At 35.9% G+C, this 15,837-nt stretch overlaps 1 protein-coding gene across 27 annotated transcripts in view; it reads left to right on the plus strand.

Annotated features, from left to right (window-relative positions):
* The window catches only part of CEP350 (centrosomal protein 350), a 160,066-nt gene that overhangs the window by 97,159 nt on the left and 47,070 nt on the right, over positions 1-15,837 (plus strand). For 22 of the 27 annotated variants that reach the window (NM_014810.5, XM_047435442.1, XM_047435459.1 and 19 more), the window contains 5 exons: positions 1,002-1,198; positions 1,782-1,966; positions 2,447-2,534; positions 10,252-10,398; positions 13,147-13,304. In NM_014810.5, the coding sequence (NP_055625.4) occupies positions 1,002-1,198; positions 1,782-1,966; positions 2,447-2,534; positions 10,252-10,398; positions 13,147-13,304 (775 nt within the window). Of the gene's footprint in view, positions 1-255; positions 349-1,001; positions 1,199-1,781; positions 1,967-2,446; positions 2,535-10,251; positions 10,399-13,146; positions 13,305-15,837 lie in introns of all 27 variants that reach the window. The other 5 variants (XM_047435400.1, XM_047435376.1, XM_047435384.1 and 2 more) reach the window with 1 other exon arrangement.

A 15,837-nucleotide genomic window follows, 5' to 3' on the forward strand; every position in this document is an offset into this window, starting at 1 on the left:
AGAAAGGAAGACTAGAATGAACTCTGGTACTGGATCATAGACATAAGTACGAATTCATGTTTAGCTGGCTGACTGGATGGGTACAAAAGCAATTGTAATTGTATGCGTAACTATGTGCACACACGTATACATGGATTAATATACATCCATATATTACCTAGCTCTGTCCACTGAGCAAGTGCAGAAGCAGTGATACAACTGTAGTAACAAGGACAACTAGTGCCTACAAATTCTTTCTTTCTTTCTTTTTTTAAGAGACGGGGTCTTGCTCTGTCACCCAGGCTGGTCTCGAACTCCTGGCCTCAAGGGATCCTCCCACCTTGGCATCCCAAAATGCTGGAATTACAGGTGTGAGCCCCTGTGCCTGGCCCCTAGATTGTGGTTTCTAAATATCATTCTTTAATAAAATAAATAAGAGCTCTTTGTAGAAATAGCTGATTCTAGGGCTGTAGGGAAAATACAGTTTGAGCCTGGAGTATCTTGTAGTACCAGAAAGGGAAGAAGTATTCAATAAAAAAAAGGATGCAGGACCATGGCAAAGGCACACAGGAACCAAACTGAAAGAGCTGTCATATTCTAATTAAGCTTGGAATTAATGAGTTTTTTAAAAAGATATTTTTACTTCATTTCTTTGATTGATAGTAATGTTAAACATTTTTTTCACTTTTACTATTTATATTTCCTTTGTAAAGCATCTGATCTGGCCTTTTTTCATTTTTCTATAGGTGCATTAGTGGTTTTCTAATTGATTTGTAAGAGCTCTCTAAATTTTTTGCAACATTAATCTTTATATGTCTTAACCTAATATTTCTAGGTATTTTTAGAGGCTTTTTCTTGCTTGTAAGGCAAATGAATTTTGTTTATTATTTCATGTCTATTTATTAGTGATCAATTTTATGAATTTATGTTGGATTGTCCCATAAAGAGGCAAAGGGCTATTAATTGAATACCTACTGAGAACAATTATAATGATAAAATCTACTTTCTCCATATTCTTTTAGACTCAACGTCTATTGCAACAGAATATTCTCTGAAATTTGATGAATCCATGACAGAAGATGAAATAGAAGAACAATCATTTCGATCATTACTACCTTCAGAGAGTCACCGCAGATTTAACATGGAAAAGAGAAGAGGTCATCATGATGACTCTGATGAAGAAGCTTCTCCAGAAAAAACTACACTGTCTACTGCCAAGGTGTGTTTCACTTTATCTGTGGAGGTAAATGGTTGTGGATATGTTCTCTCAAAGATATGAGAAAACATTTTGTACTTATCTCATTTGTCAGCTACTAGAATGATTTTTCTAAGATATCAGTTTTATTTTATAGTTTTCCTATGAAATCTGGTTTCACTTTCCTTACAAAGTACAATACAAACTTATTTTTTGGAATGATATATAAGGCCTTTGAGGATCTGAGCCAATATTATCTCTCTAGCTTTTGTACTTGCTTCACTCTTCTAATACTTTATTCCATTTAGAAATTTACATTCGTTCTTACCAAATTGTAATCCTCTTGGTTAAGAGGAACAAATTCTTACCCACTTTGTATCCTTGGGACAGTAATTGGCTTGCAGTAGTTTATTAAAATTTTATTGGCTGAATAAATTAGCAGATGAATGTTAATCTGCCTCATGTGCCTTTTTAAAGAATATACTCTTACATTGTTGGTGGCCTTGTTAAATACATAGTTTGTTTTTGTAAATGCATACCTCTTTTAGTGGAATTAAGTACCAAAAGGTTAGATGATGATAAACAAGAAAGAAACCATCTACTTTAGGAACTGAACATGCCATTCTCAGGAGGACAAGATAGCTTTTCTAAATTTACTATGGAGATGGTTCGACAGTATATGAAAGAGGAAGAAATGAGGGCAGCTCACCAGTCTTCACTCCTGCGTCTCCGTGAAAAGGCCTTGAAGGAGAAGACTAAGGCTGAATTGGCCTGGTTAGAGCATCAAAAAAAGTAAGTTCTTTTGAGCAGTTTTCACTAATTTCTTCATTCATAAAATGGAATGCTTTATATTTTAAGATTTTTTTGTTTCCTCATTTCATTTGATTAGAGCAGCCCAGTTTCTCAAGCTAGAAATAACGGCAGTCATACTTGATTTGTATTTCTTTCAAGACCTCCTCCTACCCACGTAACATTTTCTTTGCATTCCCCTTTTATCACTTAACTGACTGTAATCTTATGTTGTCATATGATGCAATATTGTAAACTTCCCCAAGTCCTTCTGTCTCCAGAGGACACATTCTAGGGCTTGCATATACCTCAGTGAAATACTTATTTGGATATTAATGGTTACGGCTACATGTAGCAACTGCTTTTCACATTTGAAAATGTTAAATTGGTTTGTAGACTTTTTAGTAGTCAAGAATTCTTGACATTATTCAGGTAAGAGAAATTTAATCAAATCTTTGTCTCAATGAAAAATATTATTTGCAGACATCTACGAGACAAAGGAGAGGATGATAAAATGCCCCCGCTCCGGAAGAAACAGCGTGGTTTGCTTTTAAGGTTGCAGCAAGAAAAGGTATGTTAGGGAAGGCACCCCTTTAGGACAGCTTATAAGGCAAGTTAGTTTGTGGAATCTATTATTTTGCCTGATTTCTTTTCCTTATCATTGCCTTAAATGAGATTTAGTTGATACTTCCACTGTTTATGTTCATACTACTATAATTATAGGGGTTGCTTGGTAATCTACTGTATTTCTCCTAAATGAGGATTGTGTGTCACTCCTAAATTAATAAAATACACAGGCAAACTTTCTACCTTCATGTAGTAAGTAGAAGAAAATACTCTTTTGAAATACAAATTTTAAAAATTAAGATATGTGTAAAAGAATCTATTTGGATTAAATTTTAAATTATTGTTTCCCTAGACTTTCATGACATATTAATTACATATTGATAAATATTTTGGCTTAATGGACTTAGAAAGACCTCAGTTTTGAATTCTGGAGAGGCAGCATGGTGGTGTAGTGGTAAAGAATTCAGGCTCTGGAGTTAGATTTCCTAGGCTAAAATCCCAACTTTACCAGTTGCTGGTTTCATAACCTTGAACAAGTTACTTAACTTCTCTGTGTCTCAGTTTCCTCATCTGTAAACTGAAGATAATAATAGTAACATACTTTATAGGGTTGTTTTAAGAAATAAGTGAGTTAATACATAAAATAAACTTAGAGCAGACTGTGGCACAATGGTAAGTGCTCAATAAATATTAGTTGCTATTATTTGAATTCCAGCGTTGTCACTTGAAACTGTGTAATCATGGTCAAAGTTTAAGTAACTCTCTGAGACTTAATTTCCTCATCTGTAGGAGTGGGATTATACTTCATATAGTGGTTGTGAGGATTAAATGAGGTAACATATGTAAAGTGGGTTTCACTGTGCCTGGTAAGTATTCAATAGATTCCAGTTTTTTTCCCCATATTAACCTGTTGTCAGGTGCTAGCTACTGTGTTAGATGATTTAGGAAGCTAATTATCTGAATTATATATTGGCTTATTACTTAGTTGTATGTTTATCCCAGGAAACATTACAGATAATATGAATTTGAATAAATTCTGAATTCCATCTTTTTTTTTTTTTTTTTTTTTTTTGAGACAGTCTCGCTCTTTTACCCAGGCTGGACTGCAGTGGCGCTATCTCGGCTCACTGCAAGCTCCGCCTCCCAGGCGCCATTCTCCTGCCTCAGCCTCCTGAGTAGCTGGGACTACAGCCCCCACCACCGCGCCTGGCTAATTTTTTTGTATTTTTAGTAGAGACGGGATTTCACCATGTCAGCCAGGATGGTCTTGATCTCCTGACCTCGCGATCCGCCATCCTCAGCCTCCCAAATGCTGGGATTACAGGCATGAGCCACCTTACCCGGCCTGAATTCTATTTTTTAAAAAATAAGTTGTGTCTTTTTAATCCAAAAAATTGGTTTTAAAATAAATTAAAATTTTTTCTTAGTTAAAATAAGTAAATAACTTTCTATAATGTTACACAATAGCTTTCTGTTATAAAATAGAATAAAAATAAGATTTATAAATTTATCCCTCATTCTGTGGGGTTTCTTTTCACTTTCTTGATAGTATCCTTTGAAGTATAAAATTTTTCATTTTGATACATCTGGTATTTTATTGCATGCCTGCTAATAACATGTTTTTTGTTTTGATTAGTTTGAAAATGTATTTGTTTCACCTTTATTTTTGAAGGATATTTTTAATAGGCATAAAATTATTTTCTTTCAGCACTTCTAAAGATATTTTCCATTATTTACTGCTTTCCATTGTTTATGTGGAGAGGTCAGTTATCTTAATCTTGTTCTTTTGAAGGTTCCTCTTAAGATTATTTAAAAATTACCCAGTTTTTCAGTAGTTTTACTATGATGCATGTAGGCGTGGTTTCCTTTGTATCTATCCTATTTAGGATTTGCTGAGCTTCTTGTATTGGTTTTTTTATTTAATCAGTTTTTCAGAAACTCTCTCTTCATGTATTGCTTCTGCCCCTCCCCCCCCCCCTTTTTTTTTTTGAGACAGGGTCCCACTCTGTTTCCCAGGCTGGAGTACAGTGGCACGATCTCAGCTCACTGCAACCTCTGCCTCTAGGGCTCAAGCAATCCTCTCACCTAAGCCTCCCCTGTAGCTGGGACCACAGGTGTGCGCCACCAGTGCCAGGTAATTTTTTGTAGAGATGGGGTTTCGCCATGTTACCCAGGCTGGTCTTGAACTCCTGGACTCAAGTGATCCCCCCACGTTGGCCTCCCAGAGTACTAGGATTACAGGTGTGAGCCACTGTGCCTGGTCACTTCTACCTCATTCTTTTTCTCCTTTCCTTCAGGGACTTCAATTAGACATAGGTTAGACCTTTTGACCATTTGCCACATCCCTCTCTTCTGTCTTGTTTGTATTTCATTCCTTAAAACAAATTAAAAACTAAAAACACTGTGCTTCAGTTTGGAAAGTTTTTATTGACCTGTCTTTGAGTTCATTAGTATGTCCTCTACTTTGCCCAGTGTGCTGCTAAGTCTATCCAGTGAGTTCTTAATTCGATTTGTTTTCGTTCTATAATACCCAATTTTATTCTTTTTAAAATAGATTTTGACTCTGTTGAAATTCTCTACCCTTTAATCTACTTTTCTTTCTTTTTTTTTTTTTTTGGAGATGGAGTTTCACTCTTCCTGCCCAGGCCAGAGTGCAATGGCGCGATCTTGGCTCACTGCAACCCCTGCCTCTCGGGTACAAGTGATTCTCCTGCCTCAGCCTCCTGAGTAGCTGGGATTACAGGCGTCTGCCACCACACCCAGCTAATTTTTTTGTATTTTTAGTAGAGACGGGGTTTCACCATGTTGGCCAGGCTGGTCTCGAGCCCCTGACCTCAGGTGATCCACCCACCTTGGCTTCCCAAAGTGCTGGGATTACAGGCGTGAGCCACCGTGCCTGGCCTACTTTTCTTTTTCTACTTATTATCCATAGTTATTTTAATGTTCTTGACTGCTGTTTCTTCCCTGTCTGCTTGTATGTGGCCATGTGTGCCTCTATTATTACTATTGTCTGTTTTCTTTTTTTTTTTTTAAACTATCGTATGGCCCCTTTTCTTTGCATGCCTAGTAATTTTTTTGTTGAATACTAGTCACAGTTATATAAATAACTGCAAAGGCTCCAGCTGATGGTCTCTTCCCCCAGAGAGGATTTATCCTTTCTTTTGCTATTTTATGAGAGTTTTCTTTTGCTATTTTATTAGAGTTATCAACTGTTCATCTTAATTCATTCAAAGATTGTGCTGGGTTAGGGTTAGGTTGTAGAGTTGGTAAGCCTCAGTCTACTTCTGGTCTGCATTATCCCTAGGTTGGGGCTCTCCAGGGATTCACTGGAAACCCAGATAATACTTTTTACTCAGCACAAGAGACTGGGGATTTCTGCCCTGCTTTTGAGACTTTTCTGGGTTAACTCCTTAGCCCTCTATGTGCTACTTCAGAACTTGACAACTGCTTTGAGGAGAATGTGAGTTTGAGATCTCCTGAGTCTCCTAGTTTTGTCACTGTGGCTCTGTGTGGATGGTTAGAGTGTTGACTGGTGTAACCACTTTGAGTTGAGAGCAATTGCCACTACCTGGTTCAGTTGAGGACATATATAATATATGACTCAGCAGTTCTGTCTTGGTATATATCCTAAAAAAGCTTTCACATATGTTCAAGGGAAAATGAAAACAACTTAATTTCTTCAATAAAAGAATAGATGAAATAAAACATATTCTTGCAAGAAAGTATAATACTGCAGGAAACTGAATGTGTTAGATATCAACACTGTCTGTAGAGATTTCTGAAATGATAGTAATTTTCTTTATCTGTGTTGTCCAATACTGTAGCTACTAGCCACATGTAGCTAGAAGCTGTCATATTGGACAGTGTAGCATGAGATCTTCATTTATCAAAAACCATAATGTTCTTTTTAATAGAAAAGCAAGATGCAAAGAATATATACAGTATTATACCAGTCATATAAATTTTTTTAAAGTAACCAATTAGTAGTATATGTTCTGTGGAACCACTCATGCATCAAAAGCAAAAAACCACATATAGAAATGATACACTTCTGGGGAAGAGAGGAAGGAGGAAGAGATTGGCATGGAGTTTGGTTTCATCTGTATTTATCTATTTATAGATAATAACATATTTGAAACAAATGTGCAAACTGTTAAATATGTTTAATGCCAGTCGTAGGGATATGAGTGACTACTTTTTCTTTTTGTAATACTTAAGAATTTTTTAAGTAAATATGCAAAATATACTCTTTGATCCAATTGGTTACCCCTGAAAAGTTGCCTTATATGTTGAAAAAACCAAAGTGTAAGAATATATGTGCTAAGATATTTCTTGCAACTGTAGCAGTAAGAATTCTTTTGACTGATAGTGAAATGGCTGGCTCTAAGCAATTTGGTACAACCGTATCCAAAAAAGAGAGACCATATTTTCCTATGTCTTATTCGTTTTACCCTCCCTGAAGTGACATTCATAACACATAAAAATAACCATTTTAATAAAGTGAATAATTCACTTACACCATTCACCATTTTAAAGTGAACAGTTCATTTGTACAACTTCATGAATTATTCTTACAAGAGGGACAAACCTGTTTCCCAAGTATTCCTTAGAAGTTGTCTCTTTTTTCTTCTAGGCTTGAATTGGGTGAATTTATACATTATTTAGTTCAGAAACTCAGGCCTAAGTTAGTGGAAGTTTCAAAACGTACTCTGTGAAACTCTGGCCTCTAAGACCCTTTCACAGGTCTGGAAGGTCAAAACTATTTTCTTAATGATACTCTGTTATGAATTTGCCCTTTTCACTGTGTTGACATTTGTACTAAATAGTAGAAAACAATGCTGAGTAAAACTGCTGGTGCTTTATCACAAGTCAGTGGCACCAAACTGTATTGGTAATTTTCTTATTCTTCATGCCACTTACTTGCAGTTAAAAAAAGCAAGTTTCATTTAGAATGTCCTGATTGAGTAGTAAGAATTATTAATTTTATTGTCTTGAACTCTTGAGTACATGTCTTTTTTGTATTCTGTGTGACAGAAACGGGAAATCCATAATCAGACATCTTTGCTCGATACCAGAATATAGTGATTAATTCAAGAAGTATTTGTGCACTTGTTTGAATTGTGAGCCTTTTTTTTTTTTTCATGGAATAGTATTTTTACTTGAAAGAATGATTCAAGGCAACCTGTGCTAATTCGGATTTGAGTGTTTGACAAATGTTTTTCTTAAAAACAAAGAAAGTATCCCTGTCACTTCAAATAAATAACTGACAATATATGTTGCCAATGATAAAATTCAAGCTTTCACACAAAAGTCAGGATTTTGAAAAATTTCTGTTGCCCACCCAAAATAATTTTTCTTTTGAGATTAATGGTGATATTCATGAGTATAACTGTTTGATATTGCATAATGAAGTGTGTCAACATTTAGAAAATCCACATAACTTAGTGAACCAACATTTTCCCAGTGACCAGTGCACAATGTTAAAAAAAAAATCAAGCTAGACAATAAAGAGATTTGCAAAACTCTAAAATATCATTCTTTTCACTAAATTATTTTTTGTTTTGGAAAATATAGTTACTTTCTTTAAAATGTACACAATCATTGTATACTCATTAGGGAATGAGAATAAAGAGCAAGTAATATATTTGCTAACAATGTATTTAGTGTTATAAAAAATGGTTTGATGCTCAGAGTCCCCTAACAGGGTCTCAAGACTTCCAGGGATTTCATAGAGCACACTTTGAGAACTGCTACTCCAGAAAAATTTATAAATGTGCCCAAGAAGACAAAATGTATAAGGCTCTTCACTTACAGCATTGTTTGTACAATAGTGAAAAATAAAGAACAACCTTAAAATCTCACCATATGGGGTGGGCACAGTGGCTCATGCCTATAATCCCAGTGCTTTGGGAGGCCAAAGACAGATCACTTGAGGCCAGGAGTTTGAGACCACTCTAGGCAACATAGCAAGACCCTGTGTCTACAAAAAAATAAAATAAAATAAAAATTAGCTATGCGTGGTGGCACGTGCTTGTAGTCCTAGCTACTTGGGAGGCTAAGGTGGGAAGATCACTTGAGCCCATGAGTTTGAGGCTGCATTGAGCCACTGTACTACTCCAGCCTGGGCAACAGAGCAAGACCTTGACTCTAAAAAATTTTAAAAATAAAAATAATCCCACCATACATGGGTAAGAGATAAATATATGGTTCTCCACTGTAATTTTATGCAGCATTAAAAGGCGTAAATTAGCATGGTGAAATATCAAAAGTGATATCTAGTAAAGCAAGATTTAAAATATATACATATGATATTTATAAAATATTTTTAAACATACAAACCAAATAGTATATCTTTTTTTTTGCAGATAAGCACAAATATTTTTAGAATAATTTAAAAAGAATGTGCTGGAAGGATAGATACCAAACCCATGATAGTTGTTACCTCTGAGGAGTTGGGGCACAAGATTGCAGACTAGTTTTATCTGTAATGTTTTATTTCTTTACAGGATTAAAGACTAGGAGAAAATATAACTGAATATTAACAATTGTTAACTTGGTGTTTTGGAAATGTAGATGTTTATAAAGCACTTTTTTGCATTTTAAGGTAGTTTCAGAAAAATCTCAATGATTAAAATAATTATAACTAACAAATTTTAATGTGTTTATTATGCTTTATTGATAAGAAAACATTGATTGATTGATTGATTGATTGATTGAGACAGGGTCTCACTCTGTTTCCTGGGCTGGAGTGCAGTGGCATGATTTTGGCTCACTGCAACCTTGACCTCCTGGGCTCAGGTTGATCCTCCCACCTCAGCCTCCCAAGTGGCTGGGACCACAGGTGAGTGCCACCACGCCTGGCTAATTTTTGTGTCTTTTGTAGAGGTGGGGTTTCACCATGTTGCCTAGGCTAGTCAACTCCTGGGCTCAAGTGATCTGCCTGCCTTGGCCTCCCAAAGTGCTAGGATTACAGGTGTGAGCCACCATGCCCAGCCAAGAAAACAGATTTAAAACAAATTTATTTTTTAAAAAGGATTATCTGTTAAATTTTGACAATTATTAGCAGTGAAGTGTATTATCTTCTGCCCACATAGCAACTGAAAACAGTATTCTGTGTGGAGAGATATTGGTACAATGTAGTCTTAAATGTTTCTGGTAGCATTGTAGACAGGGGCAGTCCTTTTTTGAAAGCAATTTTAAAAACTGTTTTTAAGAACCATAAAATGATTCATTGTCTTTGACTTGTTTATTTTACTTTTAGAAATCTCTCCTAAAGAATTAATCCATGGTATGAAACAGCTATGGGCATTAAAGCATTATTTGAGATAGTAAAACATTATAGGGGCCTAAAAGTTTAGCAATAGAATAATAGTTACATTAATTAGTTTACTTGATAAGCAGCTATTAAACTAGTAAGTGTAAACGTTGAGTAGCATTATGGAAAAATGTAAAATATATGTTATGTTTTAAAATGGGATATGAAATTATCAATCTAATTATAATTTAAAATTAAGAGATCATATTAAATTATTTTAGAATGGTGGGATTATATATGATTTATTTCCTCCCTCACTATTTTTTAAACTTTTCAGTATTACTACTTTTATTATAAAATACTATATGTATTTATTTTTAATATATGTGCTGATTTTTTTTTTAAATATTACTTTGGCCTTGTCTTCTCCCAATCTTAATCCCTCTCTTAACTCTTTAAACCTTAGGCAGAAATAAAACGTCTTCAAGAAGCCAATAAGGCAGCTCGGAAGGAAAGACAGCTGATTCTTAAACAGCAGGAGGAGATAGAAAAGATCCGACAGACCACCATAAAACTACAGGAGAAATTGAAGTCTGCAGGGGAGAGTAAATTGGTAAACTACATGAAGTTATTATTTGTTTCCTGTCTTATTTTGATTGTCGGTATCTAACCCTGTCTCATGTTCTAAGATAATATTCATTCAAGCAGTATGATACAATAATGAACTAGGATAAAGTTCTATGGATGGGCCAGTCTTAGTCCATTTTCTGTTGCTATAACTGAATACCTAAGACTGGGTAATTTATAAAGGAGCAAAATTTTTTCTTAACAGTTCTGGAAGGTGAGAAGTTCAAGGTCAAGGTGCCACATCTGGTGAGGGCCTTCTTGCTGGTAGGGACTCTCCGCAGAGTCCCAAGCGGTGATGCAGGGCATCACATGACAAGGGGGCTGAGTGTGCTAGCTCAATCCCCTCTTTCTTCTCTTATTAAGCCACTAAAGTCCAACCCTCATGACATCATCTATTTCTAATTACCTTTCAAAAGTTCTACCTCTCAAATACCATAGTCTGATTTCCCACTGTCTTAATGTTACAATGAGAATTAAGATTCAACATGAGTTACAGAGGGGACAAACATTCAAACCGTAGCAATGCCCTAATGTATAGTGAGAGTTTTATTTTTTTCCTATGGAATATTCAAATTTTGAAAGGGCCACATAGTTCTTATACAATATTAGTTTAATTTAGAATATTTTTCACTTACAAACTAAATTGGAACAGAGGGCTTTGCTCTTATTTATCAATCCAAACAAATTCTTCAGAATTAATGGGGGAGACTGTTTTACTATTTACATGATACTCATTTTAGCTATCCAACTTTAATATGATGATACATGATTCAAAGGAGATATTAGACAAAAACAAAATTTGAAACTTTTTTTTTTTTTTTTTTTTTGGAGACACGGTCTCACTCTGTCACCTGGACTGGAATAAAATGGTGCAATCACAGCTCACAGCAGCCTTGACCTCCCAGGGGTTAGGTAATCCTCTCACCTCAGCCTCCCGAGTAGCTGGGACTATAGGCATGCACCTCCACCCTCAGCTAATTTTTTGTATTTTTTATAGAGATGGAGTTTCGCCATGTTGCTCAGGCTGGTCTCCAACTCCTGGGCTCAAGCAATCCATCTGCCTCAGCCTCCCAGAGTGTTAGGATTACAGGTGTGAGCCACCATGTCCAGTGGACCTATTCTAAGGTACTATAAAATGTCAATGTAGGGCTGGGTGCCGTAACTCAAACACCTGTAATCCCAACACTTTGGGAGGCCTAGGTGGGCAGATCGCTTGAGCTCAGGAGTTTGAGACCAGCCTGGGCAACAGGGCGAAACTCCTAGCTCTACAAAAAATATAAAAATTAGCTGGACATGGTGGCATACACCTATAGTCCCAGCTACTTGCGAGGCTGAGGTGGGAGGATTGCTTCAGCCTAGCAGGCCAAAGCTGCAGTAAGCTGTGACCACACCACTGCACTCCAGCCTAGGTGATAAAGCAAGACCCTGTCTCAAAAAAAAATCATTATAGTGTGAGAAAACCCAGGCTGTATAGCAGTATAATTTTTAAAATTCCTAATATGCTCTGCTTTGATTTTTAAAGTAAACTTTAAATTTTGAAAAAATCTCAAACTTACAGAAAAATGTCAAACAGTACAAAAAATTCTATTATCCTGAGTTATCTGAGAGTAAGTTGCCAACAAATTAACATTGATACATTACTACCACTTAATCTGCAGACTACCTGAAAGTGGGTGCCCTTCTCATTCCACCTGGGCTCTGACTCCCCAAGTTGGGCTATTCCCATCTCCTCACACCCTCTCTTCCTTGCTCTCTTTGGACTCTGGCTCTTGTGCTAGGAAGTTCTCTGTGGTAAGGCCATCCTCACTGTGCTTGGGCTTGCAGTTGTGTGTGGGGGTCACTTCCATGTGACATTCTTGTTGGCCTTCTTGGGCTCTGATTTCCCTTACCGGCCACCCTCCTGCATTGGATGCCCTCTTCATCCTACTCAGGTTCTGAGACCCCACTCTTGCCCTCCTGTGTCCCTCAGCCCCTAAGATGCCCGCCTTGCTCTGTCGCATCCAATGACTATAAGACTTAACTGTTCAAGAGGAAGAAAGGGAAGCTCAAGGGCTCTACTTTTTTTTTTTAAACAAAATAAAAACAGTCATTACTGTTGCTACCCATCTTCCTGAAAAGTTAGGAGAATAAATGACTGTTTGTGGGGAAAACATACTAAGCAATTAAAGTTTTACTTTTTGCTCATCAGAAATAATGTATTGATTAATAGTTTCCAAATGTTTTCTTTACAAACTTTTTTAATTTTTGAAAACACTGTTTTGCATAAGGAATATTCAAAGGAAAAAACCCATGCCCTAGTATGATTAAAATAAATGTTACATCTTCCAGTCATTCTTTGTGTCTGTACATACATGTTTTATATAGTTATAGTCTAATTTTTTTATTCCTTTTGAGTGGTCCAACTTTGAAATCTCAGAGAGGATGTGCAGATACTAGATTACTAATAGCAGAAGCTTTTTTGGATTTCTTACATTTCTTCTTTTTTAAAATTATTACATGTTGTGATATTCTCTTTTTCTCTCTATATATAAATGGTGGTAAAAATATACATAATATGAAATGTACTAGTTTAACCATTTTTAAGTGTGTGATATATTTTGTCCTTTATTATCTTATTTTCAACTATTGTTATAAACATTGTATTGTGGATAAACTTAATTTTGAATTGACAGTATTATGATGGCTTCAAGGTCCTATTAAAGTCCAATACAATTTTGCCTCTTTTTGTTTGCAGGACTCTCATAGTGATGATGATACAAAGGATAATAAGGCAACCAGTCCTGGTCCAACTGACTTGGAGACCCGCAGTCCTTCTCCCATTTCAATCTCCAGCAGTGAAACTAGCAGCATTATGCAGAAACTGAAGAAAATGAGAAGCCGCATGGATGAAAAGTATTTGTTTTTTATAAATATCTCTTGTTTAGTTACATTGAAAGTAGTACAACAAATAACATTTGTAATAATACTTCACTAGATTAGATTGAGACAAAATATTTTATGGATTCAGTAGCATTTTAGCAGAATTGTTAGATTAACCTAGAAGCCAATTAACTGTAGATCTTATTTATAAAACAATTTTAATACGAGCAGGTTTCTTACTTTAAAAAACCGAAAAACAAGGCTAGGAGTGGTGGCTCACACCTATAATCCCAGCACTTTGAGAAGCTGAGGCAGGAGGATCATCTGAGCCCAGGAATTCAAGACCAGCCTGGGCAACGTAGTGAGACCCCGTCTTTAAAAAAAAAAAATTAGCTGGGCATGGTGCCATGTGGGAGGCTGAGGTGGGAGGATCCTTTGAGCCTAGGAGATCAAGGCTGCAGTGAGCTATGATTGTGCCACTGCACTCCAGCCAGGGTGACAGAGCTAGACCCTGTCCCCCCCCAAAAAAAAAGTATCTGCACATGTACCCATAACAAAGTTTTCCCTTCTTTTATTGAAAGAAAGGCATTTCTTTCAATAAAATTTCTATAAAATTTTAATTTTATAGAAATTAAAGAAATTTTCAATAAAATTTCTTTCTACTAATTTGGGGAAGCAACTAATGGTATATCCTGACGTTTCATCCTGTGACTCTCTGGCATCTCTCAGGCTTATTCAAATAGATGAAATTTTAACCTGGTGAGTAGGTATGAGTTCCTTAGCTGAAAGCAGAAAGGCTGAAATTTTCCAGGAATGTTGATTTGAAAGTCTTAACATTCTTCTAAAATAGTTCTAAGAATTATTTTGTAAAGACTCTTAAAGAAAGCTACTCCAACTTAGATATAGCTCAGTTGTACATCATTGTTGACCATATAAAATGAAATTTATGTGAGACTTTACTCTTTGGGGTGTATATTTAATTAAATACGGTTAAAAATTAGCTGCTTGTGGACTCTATTCTTGCCTCTGTAACCTCCACCCCATATCTAGCTTCCTCGAAACCCATTAAATATGGAAGAGACTCATTAGAAATTTTTGCTGACTACCATTTTAAATTCGCAATTTGAACTACTGCAGATTGAATTTAAGTTTTAACTTGATAACCTTTGGCAGTATACCACACATCACCAAATTTAATAATGCTCTATGTTTATATGTTAAATCAATCTGTGATTTAGTTTGTTTTGCAACAGTCAAGAGTTGTAAGTTAAATCCTTACTTTCTGTAGGTGCAGTTCTATATTGGCACTTCATTGCAAGAACGGCATTTCATAACTTAAAAATACCTAAATTGATTATGAAAATAAGTCTTGAAAATACAGTTTTTAAAAATTAAAAATATAAGAGGTGAAACCAAATATTGACAAATATATGAATGAATGTTCCTTTTGGATGATTTCCATGGGATAGACTGATTAAGGCTTCTTCAAGTAGGAATTTATTAAAATTTAGATTAAAGATGCTTTCTTCCTTTCCTGATAAAATTTTCCAGTAGCCTATATGGGCGTACTGTATTGTTCCAGCAGTCTTTGAATTCAAAATTAGAATAATCTCTCATAGATTTTTATCACTAATTTGACATTGTAGATCTGCTACAAATGTCTTTGAATGGTAAATGTTGGGGGAACACAGTGTCAGGGTGATTTCTTCATTGATCCCTTGCTCTTCTATTTCAGTAAAATCTTCATTGCCAGTCTCTAAGAATGATATCCTAATTTAACCACCTTTGTAGAAAAAACTTAATTCCAGTCTGACCTTGAGGTCAGTTAGTTTCTGGGATGCTTATTTATTTCAGATTTGATTTAAAATTTTAAAAATCCTAAATAACAAGTTTAAGTTTGGATTTATTGACTTTGTTCCAAATTTTGTTAATTATTTTCATAGACTCCAAAATATTAATCACCTAGAATTTTTGTATTATTCCTCTACCTTTCCTTGACAACTATGGCAATTGATTTTTGAGAGATTTGTCAAGGAGAATAGGCATTGGAGCATTCAGTGACTTTTTGATCTGTTTGAGGCAATGAAATTGTGTTTGTGATAGGAATAGAGTAAAGGCAGTAGTGGCAAAGAAATGTTTGAATGATGGTGCTGAAATCTGAGGATGAGGCCGGGCCTGGTGGCTCACGCCTGTAATCCCAGCATTTTGGGAGGCCGAGGCAGGCAGATCACCTGTGGTCAGGAGTTCGAGACCAACCATGGCCAACATGGTGAAACCTCATCTCTACTAAAAATACAACATTAGCCAGGCCTGGTGACACATGCCTGTAATCACAGCTACTCTGGAGGCTGAGGCAGGAGAATCACTTGAACCTGGGAGGGGGAGGTTGCAGTGAGCTGAGCTCATGCCGCCATACTCCAGCCTGGGCAACAAGAACAAAACTTAGTCTCAAAAAAAAAGAAATCTGAGGATGAACTAAAGTATTTTCCGAAATTGGTGGTGCATAGGAAAGGAAGAATATTGTTATATACTATTTTTTGGTCTCTGAAACAAAGTAATGTGAAAA

This window comes from Homo sapiens, chromosome 1 (genome assembly GCF_000001405.40).
Source record: "Homo sapiens chromosome 1, GRCh38.p14 Primary Assembly".
Lineage (NCBI taxonomy): Eukaryota > Metazoa > Chordata > Mammalia > Primates > Hominidae > Homo > Homo sapiens.